This window comes from Homo sapiens, chromosome 10, assembly GCF_000001405.40.
Source record: "Homo sapiens chromosome 10, GRCh38.p14 Primary Assembly".
NCBI classification, from domain to species: domain Eukaryota; kingdom Metazoa; phylum Chordata; class Mammalia; order Primates; family Hominidae; genus Homo; species Homo sapiens.
This window is the reverse complement of record NC_000010.11, coordinates 27,118,047-27,140,970: the sequence shown is the minus strand read 5'-3', so window position 1 is coordinate 27,140,970 and position 22,924 is coordinate 27,118,047. Positions and strand designations below refer to the sequence as shown.

The 22,924-nt window shown below is 36.0% G+C and overlaps 1 protein-coding gene across 4 annotated transcripts in view, besides 1 other annotated feature; it reads left to right on the top strand.

The window, feature by feature from the left end:
• The window catches only part of YME1L1 (YME1 like 1 ATPase), a 44,274-nt gene that overhangs the window by 13,414 nt on the left and 7,936 nt on the right, over positions 1 to 22,924 (top strand). For all 4 annotated transcript variants that reach the window (NM_001253866.2, NM_014263.4, XM_011519300.4 and 1 more), the window contains 10 exons: positions 4,586 to 4,695; positions 5,990 to 6,140; positions 6,849 to 6,932; positions 9,030 to 9,112; positions 14,185 to 14,275; positions 17,272 to 17,424; positions 17,998 to 18,130; positions 19,523 to 19,585; positions 20,424 to 20,536; positions 21,522 to 21,677. In NM_001253866.2, the coding sequence (NP_001240795.1) occupies positions 4,586 to 4,695; positions 5,990 to 6,140; positions 6,849 to 6,932; positions 9,030 to 9,112; positions 14,185 to 14,275; positions 17,272 to 17,424; positions 17,998 to 18,130; positions 19,523 to 19,585; positions 20,424 to 20,536; positions 21,522 to 21,677 (1,137 nt within the window). The remainder of the gene's footprint in view (positions 1 to 4,585; positions 4,696 to 5,989; positions 6,141 to 6,848; positions 6,933 to 9,029; positions 9,113 to 14,184; positions 14,276 to 17,271; positions 17,425 to 17,997; positions 18,131 to 19,522; positions 19,586 to 20,423; positions 20,537 to 21,521; positions 21,678 to 22,924) is intronic.
• Positions 5,326 to 5,495: an enhancer, noted in NCBI's record as "experimental_11825 CRE fragment used in MPRA reporter constructs". NCBI's record gives its function as "activates a minimal promoter by MPRAs in K562 erythroleukemia cells, with activity observed for both the introgressed and non-introgressed 10:27424490 variant alleles {active_cell/tissue: K562}" and the evidence as "EXISTENCE:reporter gene assay evidence [ECO:0000049][PMID:34662402]".

The window sequence follows — 22,924 nt, the reverse complement described above, 5'->3', positions numbered from 1 at the left end:
GAAGAAGACAGCTGATACGTTTTTAGCTATTGTTGGAAGATGTATAAAAACTGAGCGTGTGTTACCTAGGGTATGAAAACTATCTTAATAAATTTTCCTAATGTTGTAACTCTGAGGTTAGATTCTCTCAATGTCAGAAAATAAAGATAAAAATCCAGTAACAGAAAAGACAGCTTAAAAAAATACCTAAATACGGCCAGGCACAGTGGCTTATGCCTGTAATCCCAGCACTTTGGTAGGCCGAGGAGGGTGGATCACAAGGTCAGAAGTTCAAGACCAGCCTGGCCAACATAGTGAAACCCCATCTCTACTAAAAATACAAAAATTAGCCAGGCATGGTGGCGTGTGCCTGTAATCCCAGCTACTTGGGAGGCTGAGGCAGGAGAATCACTTGAACCCAGGAGGCGGAGGTTGCAGTGAGCCGAGACCGCGCCACTGAACTCCAGCCTGGCAACAGAGCGAGACTCCGTCTCAAAAAACAAAAAAGACAAAAAAAACCTAAATACTTGAAATTTTTAAAACCCTTTTCTAAATGTCTCACGACTGAATGGAAATAAAACCGGGATTACAGACACTCAGTAATGAACCACAGTGAAAATCTGTATATCAGACTCTTGGTGAGGACAAAATGACATTGAGGGCGTTATATAATTTACTGAGAAATCAGGCTGGATGCAGTGGCTTATGCCTGTAATCCCAGCACTTTGGGAGGCTGAGTCAGGTGGATCACCTGAGGTCGGGAGTTCAAGACCAGCATGGCCAACATGGTAAAACCCCGTTCTCCACTAAAAAAGAAATACAAAATTAGCCAGGTGTGGTGGCACATGCCTGTAATCTCAGCTACTCGGGAGGCTGAGGCAGGATAATCGCTTGAACCTGGGAGATGGAAGTTTCAGTGAGCCAAGATGGCACCTCCATCCTGGGCAACAGAGCAAGACTTTGTCTCAAAAAGAAAAAAAAATTTAAGATATAAAGATAGAAAATAAATTGAATTTCTGAAAAATAATAGAAGAAATTAATACACACAAAGCAAACATTTTAAAATAATAGGTGGAAATAGTTTTAATTAAACCAAAAACAAATTTAGTATAAAAAAAGGAACAATTTAACAATTCTGATTAAGAAACAACAGGAAAATACAGACAGTATTAGAAGTATGAGTGGGAATTGCCATGGATATGTGAAGGTTTTAAAATTGCAAGGTAGTATGTGTAACTTTATGTCAAAAATAAAAATATGTTGAAATGGACAATTGTCTAAGCAATTAATTAACAAAGTTAACCCAAGAAGAGATAGGATAATAACCATGAAGTTTAAAAGACAGTATTTTAAAAATATTGTCCCTTTGCCCCAGAGGCACTAGGTTCAGATAATTTTTATGGCTGCATTCTTCTAGAATCTTGAGTTTCTTTTTAATTTAAAACCTTATTAAAAAGAAAAAGATAGAGTTCCCTATTTATTCCATGAGATTGCTGTTAGTAAAACTTTTTAGTATTAGCATAAGGCCAGGCACTGTGGATCACACCTGTAATCCCAACACTTTGGGATGATCGCTTGAAGCCAGGAGTTCAAAACAAGCCCAGACATCATCTCAACAACAGCAACAAAAATTAGCCCGTCGTGGTATCATGCCCCTGTAGTTCTGGATACTTGGGAGGCTGAGGTGAAAGGTTTGCTTGAGCCCAAAGTTCAAGGTTACAGTGAGCTATGATCATGCCACCGTACTTCAGCTTGAGTGACAGCAAGATCCTATCTAAAAAATATATATATGTATATATGTATGTATCTGTGTCTGAATGTATATACACACGCAAGCACGACAGAGGAACAAAATAGATGTGTTTCACTTAACAGAAATCCTAAATAAAATCTGAAGAAAGCAAATCTAGAAATGTGCTAAAAATATTATATCATGATTAAGGAATACAAAAGTGATTTAAGATTATTAGTAAGTCAATTTATCATATTGATTAGAAAAGAAAAATATCATTATTTCAATGTATGATAAAAAGACATGATATATTTTAATTGCTGTGCTTCCTGAAAACTCTTAGAAAGTTAGAAATGGAAGGAAACTTAAAATTTATTAAACATCTATTATGTTCCTGTTAATTTGAGAAACATGGAGTATCCTGGTTTTTTTTTCAGCATTAATTTGGAGATTCTGAACAATATGATTTAAAAGAAAACGAAATGAGCCATATGTAAGTCAAAAGAAGGAGTAAAATTATAATTTGCAGGTGATAACGATTGTTTACCAGAAAATTCAAGAAAATCATCCAAAAGGCTGTTGAAATAAAGAGTTCACTGCATTGTCCATACCAGATAAATGCATAAAAATCAATAGCTTTCTTATATTCTAGCGGCAGGTTTTATTTACAATTTCTTTAAAACCCAGTAAATGTTTTATCCTGACAGGAAATATACAACATAGATATATACACACATACACACGTGTGTGTATGAAGCTTTACTGAAGGAAATGAAAGAGGAACTGAGTGAAATAAAATAAGGCCATAATCCTATTTGGAAGAACTAGGTATTACAACAGTATCAATTTACACCCAAATTTGTAAAGTCAATACAACCCCAATCAAAACTCTAATGACCCACTTGGGAAATCGAGAAGTTGATTTTAAACTTAATTTGGAATAACTGAGTACATGTTAAAAGAATACTAATGAAGGGGATTTTATCCTACTTAAGTACATGAAAATACAGATATTTAGCCATGGAAATCAGTAGTGTAGTATTACAAATAACTAAAATTAAAAAATTTAACCTAGTGCTGACATACATCAGTGCAACAAAATTAAGAATTTTGAATCAATAAGCAAATGATGGATTATCAAATGTTATCAGCCTAAGTGGCTGTTTTGGAAAAATCAAGTTCTTTTCTTACATCATACCAAAAAAAAAAGTTCCAAATATGTTAAAGGGTTGAAAACAAAAATATAAAACTGAAAATATTAGAAGTAAGTAGACTACCTTTAAAATCTTAGTTTGGCAATGAAACTCTAATCAAGTTAAAATGCAGAAAACACAGCAAAGGTATGGCTGCACTGAGCTAATAAATTACTGTATATGATCGAAAGACAAAGACACATTAAAATAAATGTTTACAATATATATAACTAAAGATTACTATCTGTAACATCCATATTATCTAAATAAAAATGGAAAAATGTGCAAAGGACATGCATGGTCAATTTACTAAAGAAATAAAAATAAAAATAGTCAATAAAAATACAGAGGAAGCTTTTCAAAATTTTCCCACACTTGTAATCTGGGAAATGCAAAGTAAAACAAGGTACTGTTATTTTTGCCCGTCAGACTTGCACAAATTTAAAAGATTCATATTATTTAGTGTCGGCAAGGATATGAAGAAAAGGAAACTCATAAGCATTGGTGGGCACATAAATTGATAACAGCCTTTTTTAGAAAGTAGTCTCTTAGTGTCAAACAAAATTTAAACCTTAACAGTGTTTCTTTCAGGAATTCAGTCTACATCTGCTGACATACATATATAAGAATGTTCACCACAGTATTGTTTCCAGCAATAAAAACCAGAAAACAAATAATGTTCAGGGAAATGGTTGAATGAATTGCACTGTGATAAATTGGAAAAGTGTAAACAGCCATTAAACTGAATGCACTGTTCTGTTCTGAAAAATATGCACGAAAAATGAAAATTGCAAAAAATTAGGTACTATTTCTAGAGTAGTTTTTATAGAAAGAGCACCTGTGTGCATGCATACAAGGGTAGTCAGAATTGTTAACAGGTTATACTTCTGGGAAGTGGGATTGGGGCTTGAGAAATTAGAAGACACTAATTTGATACACTTACCCTTTTTTCAAAAACATTATGTAATTACCAAAAACATGTAAAAATCAGTTGTGTAGATTCAATCTATTTTAATTACTTGGTTGGGTTTTTTTTTTTTTTTGAAATCACAGTTTATCAGAGTTGATACTCAGTTTTTTAAATTATATTGTATAACCCTCTGACTTCTCTATTTACCTTTATCCCCTATCAACATAAAAAATAGGCCAGGCGCGGTGGCTCACGCCTATAATCCCAGCACTGTGGGAGGCCAAGGCAGGTGGATCACCTGAGGTTAGGAGGCTGAGGCAGGATAGTTGCTTGAACCCAGGAGGCGGAGGTTGCAGTGAGCAGCAATGCCTTGCACTCCAGCCTGGGCAACAAGAGTGAAACTCCATCTCAAATAAATAAATAAATAAATAAATAAATAAATAAATAAATAAATAAAGTTCCTTTTGAAAAAAGGAGGATAGAAAAAACTATAAGCTGGGCATGATAGATTTAAGTTCTCAGACCTAATCCCAGCTCTTTGGGAGGCTGAGGCAAGAGGACTGCTTGAGCCCAGGAGTTCAAGGCCAGCCTGGGCAATAAAAGGAGACCCCGTCTCTACAAAAAAGAAGGAAACAAAGGAAAACGTATTGAAGTGTCAGGCAAATTAGATAGACTAGGATATACAGGTAGGGTGTCAGACTTTAGAATCTTAGGCATTTTTCTTTTCCTGTAACAATTTATAGTGACAGTGAATGGTATTGTTTTATTTAGTTTTCATACAGTCTCGGGGTTTTAAAACTTTGAAATCAAGGACACGACGTCTCCAGTCTACCTCCGAGAGATTAGCTGAAACACAGAATATAGCGCCATCATTCGTGAAGGTAATTAGACCTTTTTATGATCCAAAAAGCAAATATTTTCAAGTTGTTAGAGTGAGGAGCTTCAATATCTGATTTCTTTTGTTGGCTGATAGATATTCTTCCTTCTTTCCACTAATAATAAGGGATTAGTAACCTGTGTAATCATTATACCTCTAACTCTTCTGGGCACCAGACTTGCCTCTCCACTTACTAGATTTTTTTCCCACAAACCTACACCTGTCGAGGTGTTCTCTGTATTAATGAGCAGCATCCACCCAAGCTAAAAACCTGGCTATCAACCTACGTTTGTCCATGTTGCCTTACCTCCCACATCCATTAACCACTAAAGTCCTGTTGATCCAACCTCCTAAATATTTCTTACATCTGTTCCACTGCCATAGATAGGCTATAACTATTTGTTGCCTAAATTACTGTAATGAATACTTGTTTAGTCTCCTTGCCTCTAGTCTTGCTGCGTTCAGTCCAGCCTCCAGACTGCCACCCATCAATCTTTCTAAAATAATGATCTAGTTATATTACTCTGCTTTATTGCTTACCTCCACCTGATACACTGGGAATTTCATCATTTGATCTCTACCTGCCATGTTTCTCTTCTCACCATTCAATATGCCCCTCTGTTTCCCTGCTCCTCTCTTGGCATTGAAGTCTTATATAAGATTGCTTACAGTTCTTGAGCACTGAAGGCTATTGATTCATGCCTCCGTCAGATTGTTCATAGTGTTTATTCCCTGTGTTTTAGATGTCCTATTCTCTGTAAGGCCTTTTCCATATTCCTGAGGTAGCATTGATTTACCACCATACATAATACTTCTAACATAATATCAAAATGATTTAAGAAACTTAGTTATTTATATATCTTTTTCCAGTAGACTGAAAACTTTAAGATCAGTGGTTTATTTATCTTTACATCTTCAGAACTTATATAAGGCCAAGTATATGAACGGTGCTTAGTAGACATTTAGTAAATTAATGAGATTTTTTCCTCTAGCAAAGATAGAGGGATATGAACATTAAGCCAATCAAACCCTAAAATAATATGTGACCTGTTTTCAGTGTAGTGTTCGTGCAGAGAATAATGCCACTTTCTTTATATTATTAATTGATTGATGCAGGAATGGGATCTAGTGTTAGTTTCCTAGTTATTGATTAATTCATTGCTGAGTCTTAATCTGTTTCTTCACATTGACAGTAAAAATTATACAGAATTTTAGTGAATTTTTTTGAGTGGTCACAATATTGTTGGGAAGTATCACTGTGTTGTTAACCAGTACTGATGTGTTGTTTGTGTATTCAGGGGTTTCTTTTGCGGGACAGAGGATCAGATGTTGAGAGTTTGGACAAACTCATGAAAACCAAAAATATACCTGAAGCTCACCAAGATGCATTTAAAACTGGTTTTGCGGAAGGTTTTCTGAAAGCTCAAGCACTCACACAAAAAACCAATGGTAAGTTGAATTGACACCATCCGTGTTTGAGAAGAGTAACTGAAAGGAAGTCATAGTCCTACATTTAAGTTTTAAGTAACTTTTCTAAGACCATCTATTGATTAAATTCCACTATATTTGTAACTTAATCTATGTAGAAATGGCGATACTGCTGATGGTTTCCCTTTCTCAAGAGAGAAAACAAATTGGAGAACAGGAAGTGTGAATGGCTTCATAAAGGTTTTTGTTTCTTTATTTTTTGTTTGTGTTTGTTTTTGAGACACGGTCTTGCTTCATTGCCTAAGCCAGAGTGCAGTGGTGCAATCATGGCTCATTGTAGCCTTAACTTTCTGGGCTCAAGTGATCCTCTCACCTCAGCCTCCTGAGTAGCTAGGATCACAGGCATGTGCCACCACGCCCAGCTAATTTTTGTGGAGATGGAATCTTGCCCTGTTGTCCAGGCTGGTCTTGAACTCCAGGGATCAAGTGATCCTCCTGCCTTGACCTCTTAAAATGCTAGGATTACAGGCATGAGCCACCATGCTTGGCCTTAAGTTTTTGATAATAGGGTACTTACAGGAAATCATAGCAGTTGTGAGAAAGAATGCCAGATTCCAAAATTGGATGTGATGAAATATGATTATTAACAATAACCTAATATTTGCATTTCATTGAGCTGTCATATTTCATAAATGTGATTTCATGTAAAGCTTTTTCTTTCTCTCCTAGATTCCCTAAGGCGAACCCGTCTGATTCTCTTCGTTCTGCTGCTATTCGGCATTTATGGACTTCTAAAAAACCCATTTTTATCTGGTAAAAGCTTTTTTTATTTGTCTAACTTATTTCTTATTCCTTTAAATACATGATTCCTTTTAATGCCTAATCTAACCCTTAAAGAAAGAACATATTAATGTTTACAGTACTAGAATTAGGCTTTCATTCCTAGTAGTGGTTAGTTTCCCAGATTTTTAGAAAATGATACCTGTCCAATTATAAAATTTAAAAATTATCCTGGTCAACAGGGTGAAAGGAAAATTAATTAATTAATTTTAAAATTATGTAGAAGAATTTTATAATGGCAATACAAGCTGAAATAGTCTTCTATTTCAAAGATAAACAAATTCAGTTTATTCATAAAATCACATTAAATGTTTCCCTTTTTTTTAGTTTGCTTATCTGAAATTAAGCAATAGTGTCAGACTTACGTGGTTCCAATTACCTTTTCCACTACTGTGCAGTTTTCACCCTGTGTTGCCTATTCTCTTAAATATTAAGGATATGTACAGATTCTTAAAAAATACTTTGTGGGCCAAAACTATTGGTGTTCATTCTAGAATTACTATTTTAAATTTGTTTTCCCAGCTTCTATGTTCCTGATTTATTAAGCATTTCTCCTTAACCCCATATTTTGCCAGCTCATTTTTCAGCCTATCTTAACAGTATTTTGGGCTTCTTCTGAGGAAATTAGAAATTGCTCAATTTACTCATTTATAACTGCTCTAGTTTGGAAGTTTCTACCTGAGTGGGAAAGACTTAAGAAATCCTTGTAATAGTTCTCCAAAATTGATCTCAAATATTTTACTCTCCTATCAGACTTTTTCTGTCTTGCTTGTCAGACTTAATGTTGTCATAATTGATAGGTCATTTGAGGGCAAGTAATAACAGTTGTCAGAGGAAGAAGACTACATGAAAAGTATAATAATGTGTTAAGCCTCAATTTTTTATTAATGTGTGTCAATGTTTTCTGCTAACTTTAAGGCAATGTGTTTCAAAGTGTAGACCTGTGACCAATTAGAATAATTGAAGTGTTTGTTAAAAATGAAAATTCTCCTGGGCCCTGTGCTGTGGCCTGAGAATTAACATACTTCTCAAGTGAGTTTTATTCACACCAAAGTTTGAGAAACTTTGATTTAAGATTTCTATCATTAGATACTACAATAAGAAGTAGAAAATAATTTTTGATTTTATTAACTGAAAAGTACAAATAGGTCATTTTATTTTATTTTTTTATTTTATTTCATTTATTTTTTTTGAGATGGAGTCTCGCTCTGTTGCCCAGGCTGGAGTGCAGTGGGGCAATCTTGGCTCGCTGCAACCTCCTCCTCCTGGGGTTCAAGCAATTTCACTGCCTCAGCCTCCCGAGTAGCTGGGACTACAGGCTTGCGCCACCATGCCCAGCTAATTTTTTGTGTTTTTAGTAGAGACGGCGTTTCACCGTTAGCCAAGATGGTCTCGATCTCCTCACCTTGCGATCTGCCCGCCTCAGCCTCCCAAAGTGCTGGGATTACAGGTGTGAGCCACCACGCCCAGTCTTTATTATTTTTTATTTTTTCAAGTTTATTAAGAAAGTAAAGGAATAAAAGAATGGCTACTCCATAGGCAGAGCAGCCGAAATATGTCTTTTTAACGTGAATCACTTACTCTTTGAAGATGGTTTAGAAATCCAGAAGACCAGCCGGGCGTAGTGGCTCACGCCTGTAATCCCAGCACTTTGGGAGGCTGAGGCGGGTGGATCACCTGAGGTCAGGAGTTCAAGACCAGCCTGACCAACATGGAAAACCCTGTCTCTGCTAAAAATACAAAATTAGCCGGGTTTGGTGGCGCATGCCTGTAATCCCAGCTACTTGGGAGGCTGAGGCAGGAGAATCGCTTGAACCTGGGAGGTTGAGGTTGCAGTGAGCCAAGATCGTGCCGCTGCACTCCAGCCTGGTAACAGAGCAAGACTCTGTCAAAAAGAAAAAAAAAGAAATCCAGAAGACCTAGTTTCTATTCCTCACTCTGATTTGATATGTGAAGTTAGGTCACTTAGACATTTAATTTTTCTAGGCTTTGCTTTCTTGCATCTAAAAAACAAGGTGATTGGAATGTTATTAATCTATCAAATATAAACATTTCTTTTCTTCCCTTTAGTCCGCTTCCGGACAACAACAGGGCTTGATTCTGCAGTAGATCCTGTCCAGATGAAAAATGTCACCTTTGAACATGTTAAAGGGGTAAGTTAAGAAGATTGCCTTGCCTTCTTCATACATCCTCTAATTGATACTCTATATGAGGTCGATATTTGATTCTACAGTGTATTCTAGAATAGGTAAAATTGTGTCCAAAAGTATTAGAAACATTAGTATTTTGGGATAAATAATAATAGCCAAGGATCAAATCTTGCTTTATGGCAGGGGATAGTATAATTTATGAAGGAGCAGCCTGGTGTAGTGGAGTGAATGTGGACTTCAGAGTCAAGCTGACTAATGTTTGAAATTCATTTTTATACTTATTAGCTATGAGACCTTGAAGAAATTACTTTAGATCCTGACAGATAATGTATGTGCTTGACACATAGTAGATATTTAATAAATGGTCCTTCTTTACCTGTACCTCTTACTGATCTTTGTAACTCCACTATCTAAAACATGTTAGACAATGTATATTTCTTGAATGAATAGAATGGATAAATGCTAGTTTATAGTTGATTAATTTGTTAAATATTTAATAGTATTAAGTGCTAGGCCCTATTTTAGCTGCTGGGATAGAATAAATAATCTCTGCATTCTTAGAGTTTAAACTCTAAAAGCAGTAATTGGACACTGATATGTGATGTAAGAAAAAGTAGAGTATGTTAAAAGAATAAAAGTGTATGGAGGAAAAAGTAGAGCAGGGTAAAGAGGATTGGGAGTTTTGAGAGAAGGCTTACAGTTTTAAATGGAGTGTTCAAGGTGTGATTGATGGAGAAGGTGACATTTGAGATAAAATCTGAAGGAGAAGATGGAATAAACTGCATTTATCTGAGAAAGGAACGTTTCTGACCAAAGGAACAGTTTGAGCAAAGGCTCTCAAGTAATAGGGTGTCTGACTTGTTCATTTTTGAAAGTAGAACTAATAGGATTTCTTATTGGAACGTAGGGTGTAAGAGAAAAGAGGAGTCAAAAAGAGCCACAAGATTTTTGGTCTCAGCAATTAGAAGGATAGAATTGACATTTACTGAGATTTTTGTTTTTGTTTTTGAGACGGAGTTTCGCTATTGTTGCCCAAGCTGGCGTGCAATGGCGTGATCTCGGCTCAGTGCAACCTCCACCTCCCAGATTCAAGCGATTCTCCTGCCTCAGCCTCCAGAGTAGCTGGGATTACAGGCACGAGCCACCACGCCCAGCTAATTTTTTGTGTTTTTAGTAGAAACAGGGTTTTACCATGTTAGCCAGGCTGGTCTTGAACTCCTGACCTCAGGTGATCCACGCAGATCAAAGTGCTGGGATTACAGGCGTGAGCCACGGTGCCCGGCCTTTAGTGAGGTTTTAAAAGGCTGTGAGTGGAGCAGATCTGGGGGACAAAGGTTAGAAATTTAGTTTTAGGTATGTTAAGTGTGAGAGATACGAATGAAAGTGTTGAGTAACTTGGATATACCACTTTGGAGGTATGGGAGAGGTCTGAGCTAGAATTAAAAATAGGAGATTATATTTATATGTATGTTAAGTCCACATGTTTGGATGAGATCACCCAGGGAGTGAGTGTAACCAGAAGAGAGATTTAAATACCGAGTTACAGAGCACTTACTTGAAGGTTCACAAGACAGAGAAGAGAAGCCAGGAACCAAGATGAGAAGGAGCTGCCAGTGAGTTAGGTGACAATGGTATCCTGGAAGAAAATATTTCTATGATGAGGGGAGTGATCAGCAATGTGAAATGCTATTGATGGGCCAAGTGAGAACTAACCATTTGATTTAGCAGTAGGTCATTGGTGTACCTGATAAAGAGCAATGTTAGTGGAGTAGCAGGGGTTAAATTCCAATTGCAGTGGGTTTACAAGAGGTGGAAAGAAATGAGATGGAATAGAGGATTGCAAACAATTCTTGGATTTTGTCTGACAGAAGAGCACAGATAATGTATCTCATAATACAAAATAAAGTTGGAATGTTGGTAAACTGTTAGGTGGGGGGTTGTGGAAATTGATAGAATCAAGGTCACCAGCAGAGAGAATATGGCTGGGAGAGGAGGAATGAGTGGTTAATGGAGGAAGTAAATTGTGTAGCAATAGGAGAATGAATGGAAACAGGAAATAAAACTGTTGTGCTCACTTGAAATTTTGGATCATGAATTTATATTAAGTCAAAATGAGTGGTTTTTCTACTGATTTTTTTTTTTTATTTTATCTTTTCCAAATGTGAATTCTGCAACTTTAGTACCACACTGTGCTCTTCTCTGTGCTTTGCCATTATATCTGCTCTATTACATTTGATTTCTCAGAACTGTAGTGGCTGGGTAATTATCTTTCAGGAGTGTTTTAGAAGAAATTCTTCCGCAGGAGGGATTTGAAGTACGTGATCTGAGGACTCTTCCAACTCTGAAGAGATTGGTTATGTTATTATTTCTGCTTTTCTTCTTTACTTATTCGTGTCTCTGTTTATACATAACCATGTTTTTTCAGCCTTGACTATTGGGGAATAAGGCATTGGGAATCATTATGATAGTTTTACAACCAAGTAGTTCTTTCCTTTCCTTTCCAGTTTAAATGGCTATGAACCCTGTTGGAATTGTATAAAGGGAACAATTGAGGAAGAGGTTGGTGCAGTGATTATTTGAAAACTTCAGTCATCAGCGTGGAGGGCCCTTCTCATTGTGTTTGAGGTCTGCATGCCTTTTCTAAATTGAGCCTGTATTAAGGCTGAGGTCAGACACAGCATTGTTATTCTCTGTCTGTAATGTACTTACATACTTACTGAATATATCACACTTCTTTTGGAATGAGAGTTTTTTTTTTTTTTTTTTTTTTTTTTTTGAGACAGGGTCTTGCTCTCTTGCCCAGGCTGGAGTGCAGTGGCATGATCATGGCTCACTGCAGCTTTGACCTTCTGGGCTCAAGTGATACTCCTGCCTTAACCTCCCTTGTAGCTGAGACCACAGGCATGCACCACCACACTTGGCTAATTTTTTAATTTAATTTTATTATTCTTTCTAGACAGGGTCTGGCTCTATCACCCAGACTGAAGTGCAGTAGTGTGATCTTAGCTCACAACAACCTCCTCCTCCTGGGCTCCAGCCATCCTCCCGCCTCAGCCTCTCAGGTAGCTAGGACTACAGGCGTGTGCCCCTATGCCTGGCTAATTTTTGTAGTTTTTTTTTGTAGAGTCGGGATTTAGCTGCGTTGCCCAGGCTGGTCTTGATCTCCTGAGCTCAAGTGATCCACCCATCTTTGCCTCCCAAAGTGCTGGGATTATAGGCATCAGCCACCAAGCCCAGCTGATTTATCTTTCTTTTTCTTCTTCTTTTTTTTGGGGGGTGGGGGAGCGGTGTAGAGACAGAGTTTCACTTTGTTGTCCAGGCTGGTCTCAAACTCCTGAGCTCAGGCAGTCCTCCCATCTCAGCCTCACAAAGTGCTGGGGGTAACAGGCATGAGCCACCACGCCTGTCCTGGAATGTGGGGATTTCTGAGTACTAAACTAAAGCCATGCTGATAACTAAGCATAGTGAAAGTAGACATCACAATTAAGGTAGATCCTTACCAAGTTTTCCATGCTAAAATGAATCAATTTTATAATTGCTGTAAGACCTAAATTTATATAGAGCAAAGTAATTCAGTAGCATTTACCAGAACAGGTTTGCCATTAGGTAGTTCCTGTGACAAATGTTTACCAAATCTCAAAGAGCTTGTATAGGAATGTCATTTCCTTGCCTAGAATTTCTGAATATATGGGCACACTTATATATATAGCCTTAAAAATATTAATAAGGGCATTTAATAACTTGATTCATTACCTTGATCCCATTAACTATTTTCCTTGATAGATCTTATGTTCCTCAAGTGGGGATTCTCTTGCCACAGAATTTGGAGAGAGAATATAGTTTATTTGAGTATTAAATTATGTTTAATCTCTTCTTTATTCCTACAGCTTAAAATTGGAATTATATCTATTATTTTGACCAAATATATTTTAGTCTTCTTTTAGTACATGGATATTATCTTTCAAGTTCTCTTTTAATAAACCAGCCAAGTCTTTTTTTAACCATAAATTTCATTGAAGTTTAACAAATTCACACAACAGTGCACAAATCCATAAATTTTCACAAACTGTCTGTGTTATAAGTACCCAGCTCAAGAAATAGAACCTTAGCAGAAGCCCAGAACCTCCTTGATGCCTCCTTCTGGTTACTAACCTAGGGACAATTTCCTGTCTAATACCATACATGAATTTTCCCTATTTTTGAATTTTAGATAAATGTAATCCATATAGAATATCCTCTTTTGTATGAGGCTTCTTTTATTCAACATGTTTGTGAGATCCATCTATGTTACTTGGAGTTGAGGTTTATTTATCCTTTATTGCATAGTATCCCATTATAAGAATACTACAACACGGTGCAATTACACTACTTTAGGGTGGACATTTATTTCTAGTTTTTGGTTCAAATACAGCTGGTGTGACTATTTTTATACAAGTCTCTTGGTGAACATATGTACACGCTTCTCCTGGACCTAGGAATGGACAAAGCTTTGTTTTGTATTTTTTTAAATACTCTGAAAAGAAAATGCTATGTTTTTAACCATTAACTTGATTAAAACATTATTACATTTTTAATTATTTAATCAGAATAACTTTCAAAGATCATTTCAAGTCTAACAAAAAAACATAACTTTGTTCTTTAATAAGTGTAATATTTCCTGGAAATATGCCTGGGAATTTTTCTTGAAATAATAAGCGAATCTTGACATTAATTGGACATTTTCAGAATGCCCTTTGGCGTGAAGCTATGTTTCATGTTTTAGAATGCTCCTCTCTAGGTACTTTCTTTTTAACCCTGTCCAATGTACTTGACTTTTGTTTTCTCACTGAGAAAATGAAAGTTCAGAATGATTTTTTTGGGGATAGTAAGGAGACTTTGCATAATGGGAAATAATGGTCAGGGGAAAACCCTTTGTTTTATAAGGGGCCATTTTTGTATGCTTTTTTTACTGAAACAGAGAAGGTCAGGTTAATTCCATATCCAAATTAAATTTATGATTTTCAAAAGGGAAGCCTTGATAATCTAACCAAACGTGTCCATTATCTAAAGTTATTTGGAAAATTGTGTCACTTTAGGTGGAGGAAGCTAAACAAGAATTACAGGAAGTTGTTGAATTCTTGAAAAATCCACAAAAATTTACTATTCTTGGAGGTAAACTTCCAAAAGGTAAGATATCTTTTCTTTATCATGATTTGATGGAAAAAACAAAAACAAAGAAACAAACAAAAAAAACCTATATTACTTATTTAATTTTAACTGATTAAAGTTTAAGTCTTAATTGCTATTTTACAAAATAGATGTTCATTCTGAACATACAATTCCATAGCCTTTTTTTTTTGGTAACTGCAAGTTTTTATATACTTTCAAATTTAAAGTTACAAGAATAGTACATAGAATGCTCCTCATACCCTTTACCTAGACTCACAAATTTTTAATATTTAGTTTCCTTTTTAGACCCAGGCTTGAGTGCAGTGATGCAATCATGGCTCGCTGTAGCCACAACCTCCCGAGTTCAGGCGGCCCTCCCAAGTAGCTGAGACCACAGGTACACACCACCATGCCGGCTAATTTTTGTATTTTTTGTAGAGATGAGGTTACTCCATGTTGCCCAGGCTGCTCTTGAACTCCTGGGCTCAAGCGATCCACTCACTTTGGCCTCCTAAAGTACTAGGACTGCAGGCATGAGCCAGCGCACTCAACCTAACTCCATTTTAAAAATCATTCACTTTGTCTCTTTATGTATATATAAATATAAAAATTATTTGTAAATAAATAAATTTTTAACTATTTGAGAGTAAATTGTAAACAATCACCCCAAGTGTGTATTTCCTAAGAATAAGGATATTCTTCTATGTAACTCCAGAATAATATTAAAATTAGGACATTACTGGGTGTGGTGGCTCACGCCTTTAATCCCAGCAGTTTAGGAGGTGGAGGCGGGTGGATTACTTGAGATCAGGAGTTCGAGACCAGTCTGGTCTTGAACCAGGGGCCATTGGAGTTCCAACCAGCCTGGCCAACATGGTGAAACCCTGTCTCTACTAAAAAAAGAAATTAGCTGGGCTTGGTGGCAGGCGCCTGTAATCCCAGCTACTCAGGAGGCTGAGGCAGGAGAATCGTTTGAACCTAGGAGGCAGAGGTTGCAGTGAGCCGAGATTGTTCCCACTGCACTCCAGTCTGGGTGACAAAGCAAGATTCTGTCTCAAAAAAAAAAAAAAAATAGGACATTTAACATACATACAAAACCATTATCAAATTTAGAGTCTATATTCAAATTTCAGCATTTGCTCCAATAGTATCCTTTGTAGTGTTGCCCTGATCCCTACCCACTTCCCCAGTTCAGGACCTAATCCAGGATCACAGGTAACATTTAGGCTTTTATTGTTTTTTTTTTTTTTTTTTTCAAATGAAACAATGAAACAATTCCTTAGCCTTTTGTGAGGGAGTGGAGAGAAGAGGATCTTTCATGATTTTTACAGTTGCAAAGAGTACTTGCCTAATTATTTATAGAATGTTCTCAGTTTAGCTTTGTCTGATGTTTTCTCATGGTTAACATGACTTTTAATGACTTCACAGTATCCTTCTAATTTATGGTTGTATCACAATTTAACCATTTATATTGAATTTTTATATGGTTTCCAGTTTTTTTGCTATTAAGAATAGTGCTGTGTTTCATCTTAATTCAAGGCTTTGCCTGCATGCTTAATTATTTCTTTAGAATAAATTTCTAGAAATGGAATTGCTGAGTTAAAGGATGACACTCCTTTTTAATGCTTGTTTTTATGCTGCCAACTATCTCCACTGAAAATACAGCAGTGTATGAAATTATTTGCAGTAACCTTTGCTAATTTAGGGTACATTTATTAAATCAGTGCTTAATAATGATAACTTTAGCTAATATCACTGGCAAAAGCCTTATCAACATCATGTACTTCCTGATGCTCTAGAAAGGACCCAAGTGATGGCTTATGTGGTGTCCACGCAAAAAGGAATTAAAAAAGAGCACAATCTCAATACAATCATGAGAAAACACTGGAAAAGCCCATATCAGGAGACATTCCACATACCACCTTTACATTTATTTAAACATCACAGAGTGAATGTTTAAAACCATAGAAGTATTAATAGTTACACTCTTCCTCTTTCTAATCACAAGGAGTATTTTAAATTTGTAGAAAATTTGAGTAGTATAAATTTGTAGAAAAATCTTCAGATACCAAGATGTAATCCACAGAAATTAATATGATTTAAACCAGTTAAGTATAACTAAAACATGACAATACTAGGATAGTCTTAAAGCTATTTTTGAGCTTGAGCTTTCTTTAAAATTTTTTTTATGTTAAAATGCAGCAAACATGTATGTAAAGAAGTTTTGTTGCTTTTTAAATGTAATATGTATATTTATAAAAACATATAAATCAGGTAATTCTGTTTTTCTAACGTGAAAATCTTTGGTGTTATGAAAATTTGCAAACATGGAAAACCTTGAAAGAACAGTACAATTAACATCCATATCCTATCCACTTAGACTCAACAATTGTTAACATTCTGTCATATTTGCTTTCTGTGTTATGTGTGTATTTTTCCCCCTGAACATTTGAAAGAAAACTATAAACGTCAACTACTTGACATCTAAAGACTTTCTTGTACATCACCTAAGAATAAGGACAGTGTCCTAAATAAACATAATAACCTTATCCCACCAAAGGAAATTATGCCTATTTCCTTAATATCATGTACTCTCAGTCTTGTTTAAATGTTTTCACCAGATGTCTCTAGAATTTTTTGTTCTTTATGAAAAAGCATCAAATCAGGATTCACTAATTACATTTGGTTGTTTAGTCTTTTAATCTATTTTTACATGAATTTTATCTTATTTAGTGATAAATGGGTTTATATTTTTTTGCCTCAAGATTCTCCCTGTCATGTCTCTTGTTGATATGGAAACAATATTTATATAATACAGGAACATTAATTTTGGACAAGATTCTGAAGTGAACCATTAGCAGAGACAAGTACGGTTTGCTGTGTTTCAAAATATTGGTTATTGGTGTGACCTCAGCCTGAAAATTATATAAATGAATAATTATTTATTTTATAGGTTCATATCGAGGGATTTTTTAAAAATACTTTGAATCATTCTCGTTTTCATTTTCTTTTAGGAATTCTTTTAGTTGGACCCCCAGGGACTGGAAAGACACTTCTTGCCCGAGCTGTGGCGGGAGAAGCTGATGTTCCTTTTTATTATGCTTCTGGATCCGAATTTGATGAGATGTTTGTGGGTGTGGGAGCCAGCCGTATCAGAAATCTTTTTAGTACGTTTTGGTGTATCTTTGATGCAGTGCTAAATTTTGTTAAGGGAAGTGTGTATCTTACCCTTTCTTTGCTAATTACTTTTTTTCTTCCTTTTTTTAATTTCTATTTTTTGGGGCCTCCAGCTTTGCATGCTAATTAGTTTTGATTGATAGTTAAAATAGCCATTGTGGGACCTTGGTTTGGGTAACTTACTATATGAATTATCGGAAGAGCTAGTGGAAGTGCAAGATGAAGTTGGAGGCTACCAAAAATCTCTTAGTGTTTTTTCATTTTATTCATCAATTTTGTAGTATGGAATTAAGGAGTAATTAGCTTCAAACCTGATTGTATATATTTGTATAGCTGGAAAGAATGAATGAATGCCCAACTGTTTTGTTTTATATCATTTCTTTGGTATAGTTTTTTCCCCCCTGAAGATACTATTTTTAAGTCAGTAAAAAATGACGTCCTTTTCTTTCAGTGAATATTTTTTGTTGGCTTTTGACAGTTGTATAGGATTTTAATATTTATCTCGTTTTGTTCAAAAGTGTTGACTTTCTTTCAGCTTATTTGAATGTTTTTTGTTTTCTTAGGGGAAGCAAAGGCGAATGCTCCTTGTGTTATATTTATTGATGAATTAGATTCTGTTGGTGGGAAGAGAATTGAATCTCCAATGCATCCATATTCAAGGCAGACCATAAATCAACTTCTTGCTGAAATGGATGGGTAATTGAGTCTTCTTTTTTCTTAGAATATGGTGATGCCTCCCAGCATTTGATATACGTAGAATTGATCTTATGCAAATTATTTCCATAAGGCATTTCATATCTAGAGATATGAAAAATGTGATGTGTATAGGAAACAGAGTAGTCCCTCATGCAAGAACTCAAGACAAGCTTTTTCTCTCAGTATTGTATTGTTTTCATTACTAACTGGATATTTGAATATCAACTCATCTTATTTAATTTATGGTATTTATATCCTTTCTCATTTATTGTTACACTTATGACAGAAAAACAATGATTTATGCCGAGACTAGTAGTCTATTTGAAGAAATACAGTTGTTTCTACATAATTTATGACTAACTTTGAGTGTTGTGGCAGATTTAAAGCTTACATCAATGTTCATAATATAAGAAGCAAGAGGTGATGTTGCTTTGAAAGAAGTATCTTAAAACTCAATATAAGACATTTTGAAACCACATAGGAAGCCCAGGAGCAAATAATTTGAATTGGTATACTTGAAAGTAATTTTTCAAAAATTAACCAGGCACCTAAGCTTTTTATATCAGGTTATCTTTTCCTGCATAGACCAGATAATTGTGAAGGTATGTAGTCAGAGATGAATTGGTGGTTTATTATCAGTTTCTTTTCTTGGCTGTTATTTGATTAATGAAGCTGGGCATGGTGGCTCACGCCTGTAATGCCAGGACTTTTGGAAGCCAAGGTGGGAGGATTGCTTGAGGCCAGGAGTTCAAAACCAGCCTGGTCAAGATAGCAAGACCCTATCTCTACTAAAAATAAAAACAGTCACCGGGCACAGTAGCTCAAGCCTATAATCCTAGCACTTTGGGAGGCTGAGGCGGGTGTATTGCTTGAGGTCAGGAGTTCAAGACCAACCTGGCCAACATGGTGAAACCCCGTCTTTACTAAAAATATAAGAATTAGCTGGGTGTGGTGGCAGGCGCCTGTAATCCTGGCTACTCAGGAAGCTGAGACATGAGAATTGCTTGAACCTGGGAGATGGAGGTTGCAGTGAGCACCATTGAACTCCAACCTGGGTGACAGTGAGACTCCATCTCCAAAAAAAAAAAAAAATAGTGGCTTGTACCTAGAAATTGGGGAGAAAAGATTTAAAAATAAATAAAAAATAAATTAGTCAGATATGTTGGCATGCACCTGTCATTCCAGCTACTTGAGAGGTTGAGGCAGAAGGTTCACTTCAACCCAGGAGTTTGAGGCAGCAGTGAGCTATGATCATACTGGTGCGCTTCAGCCTAGGCCACAAAGCGAGTCCTAGTCTCAAAAAAAGAAAACAAACCAGTTTTGTGTAGAGCATTTCTACATGTGTGCTGTGCTTCAGTGTTAGTAAAAGATACTATTTTTTTTCCAATATAGTTTTAAACCCAATGAAGGAGTTATCATAATAGGAGCCACAAACTTCCCAGAGGCATTAGATAAGTAAGTATTAAAAGAAGATTTTTGTGAAGTACTGTTACATGCTACAAAATTGTGCTAAAAGAAGTCCGTTGCAAAAGATCACATCAACACTGTATGATTCCATTTATATGCAATATCCAGAATAAGCAAATTCACAGAGACAAATTGGGTTAGCGGTTACCAGAGGTTAGGGAGAATGGGGAATGGCTGTCATTGGATATGGGATTTCTTTGTGGGGGATGGGAATATTCTAAAATTAGATTGTGGTGATGGTTGTACAATTCTGAATGTATTAAAAACCACTGAAGTATCCACTTTAAATTATGTGAATTACATCTCAATAAAACTTAAAATATTTATTTGTTATATGTCACAAAAGTTGTATGTAGAGAGGGTTTTTAAAATAAATTAACTGTAGTATTATAACTAGGTTTAAAGTTACTATGAAAAAATTTTACTGTAGAAGTTATTCGTATTTTCATTTGATCAGTAGTTTGTCACTGCCTAAGACTCTAGTCTAACATTCTGTACTTAGCAGTTGAGATGGATGTGTGGTTCTCATAATAGTTTGTTGTGGAATTATTTGTTCCTGGACTGAATTACCTGCATGCTTTTGTTTCTGAGGGGTAGGCTACCTAGGTACACACGTGTATCTAAATGAACCTTTGTTCTGCTTTCTGGTTATTGACACTGTTACTTGAGCCATGTTTTAAAGGAACTATCTGAATATTTATGTACAAAACTCCATCTGCGCTCTGGCTGCCATTGGCTTCCCAGTCACGTCATTAGGGTGTCAGTCCTGTTGAATTTGAGCTTAAATAGTTTTAATTTATATTTTCCTTTTGCATTCTTCCTGTAGTGCCTTAATACGTCCTGGTCGTTTTGACATGCAAGTTACAGTTCCAAGGCCAGATGTAAAAGGTCGAACAGAAATTTTGAAATGGTATCTCAATAAAATAAAGTTTGATCAATGTAAGTATCAAAACAAACATTTGTCATTTCTGTAAAGTGGTAATATACCACTCACCCTGTTTGTGGTCCTTTCATGATACATGTATTAACATTAAAAGACCAGTTCATTTTTGTCTTTTTTTTTTCCATTAGTATGTTCGTTTAAAAGTCCATTCCTTAGTGTATATCCAGGAGATTCTATTGTTTTGAACCCTGAGTCTAAAGAAAGGTTTTTTTAGAGTATTCAGACAGATAATATTTGAGGATACATACATATACATACACACACACACATTTTTTTAAGATGAATGTAAAATGCAAAATAATTTAAAAAAGCTGCAGAAACAGTAACTCATGATATAGTCAGTGTGGGGCCAAAAGAGAAGAAAGCAAATTATAAAACAAAACACATGGAAATTTATTACTCACTTGAGTAATAAATGAAATTATTAAAGCTGCAGTAGTTTCAGAGATAGCTGTATCAATTCATTAAACTATACATGTTTCCTATAAGGGCAGCTTTTATGTCTAAAGTATTTCCAGATGAAATTCAGAGAAAAAGTGACTAAACTATGGCTCAGAATAGCTAGCTATTTTCTTTTTTCCCTTGGAATGTGAGGTGTTTTTTTTTTTTGGTTTTTTTTTGAGACAAGAGTTTTGCCCTTTTTGCCTAGGCTGGAGTGGAGTGGCACAATCTTGGCTTACTGCAACCTCCACCTCCCGGGTTCAAGTGATTCTTCTGCCTCAGCCTTCTGAATAGCTGGGATTACAGGTGCATGCCACCATGCCCAGCTAATTTTTGTATTTTTAGTAGAGATGGGGTTTCACCATGTTGGCCAGGATGGTCTCCAACTCCTGTCCTTAGGTGATCTGCCTGCCCCAGCCTCCCAAAGTGCTGGGATTACAGGCATGAGCCAACGCACCCAGTTGGAATGTGAGTTCTTTGTGAAGAGCTTTCTTTTACCTGTTTTAGACTTATTAGCGTTGTGTTCTCTTTTTACATTAGCCGTTGATCCAGAAATTATAGCTCGAGGTACTGTTGGCTTTTCCGGAGCAGAGTTGGAGAATCTTGTGAACCAGGCTGCATTAAAAGCAGCTGTTGATGGAAAAGAAATGGTTACCATGAAGGAGCTGGAGTTTTCCAAAGACAAAATTCTAATGGGTAGGTTTCCTTTCTTTTTTTTCTGTCTTTTACTTTTCATTGTGTTAGATAATTCATTTAGGGGCAAATACTCTATTCAAACAGCTAAAGCCATGGCTATGTTGAATCTAATCTTACTCTAAAACTTCAGTGTCTGGGTTTTCAAGATTTGTAATAAATGATTTTACAAAATTCCCAACTTAACATCAAACAAATGCCATTAAACTGTAACATTTTCTTGACAATAATCTTGTCAGTGATACAGAACTGATTTTATAGTGTACCACATTTATTAGTTTTGTCTCTTTCTTAGAAAACCTTTTTTTCTGACTGGAAAGCTTTAAAAAGTGATGGGAACATGAAAATATATACTTGACAACACCACAATTTGGCATCTTACGAAACAAATATATTCTAGTTGCTTATGTAATTATATAGTTAAACTGGTAGTGGGGAGATGAGGCACGTATACATTTCCTCTTGTCAGACATTGCTGCGAAAAAGGATACTTTATTCTGTGCTTAATTTCGATTTTAAATCTTGGATTGGCTTAAAATCACATTAATTATGATATTCTTGTTAAACTGGAAGTTTATTTTATAGAAATAGAAATAAGTTTTCCCTTTTGAATTAAGATGATAGTTTTGACAGTTTTGGTTTTCAGTTAAATTGTTAAAGTTTGTATGTGTTAGGAATGAATTCTGCCCATTTTAAAAAACTTTGTAGACTGGGCGTGGTGGCTCACACCTGTAATCCCAGCACTTTGGGAGGCCAAGGCAGGAGGACTGCTTGAGCCCAGAATCGTTGGAGTTCAAGATCAGCTGGGCAACATAGCAAGACTCCATCTCTACCAAAAATTTTAAAAATTAGTTGGGTGGGGTGGCATGCGACTGTGGTCCCATCTACTTGGGAGTCCTAGGTGGGAGGATTACTTAAGTCCAAGAAGTTAAAGCTACAGTGAGCCATGATCATGCCACTGTATTCCAGCCTGGGTTACAGACCCTGTTTAAAAAGAAACAAAATTACTAAAAATTACTAAAGCTAGGTGCAGTGGCACATGCCTGTAATCCCAGCACTTTGGGAAGCTGAGGTGGGTGGATTGCTTGAGGCTAAGAGTTCAAGGTTGGAGTGAGCTATAATAAGAATGACTTTAAGGAGAATGAGTTTTTTGTTTTATAATATTAATCCCATATCAGATACATTCACCTCTCAGTATCCACTGAAGGGGTGGGGATTGGTTCCAGGACCCATGTGGATACCAAAATTCA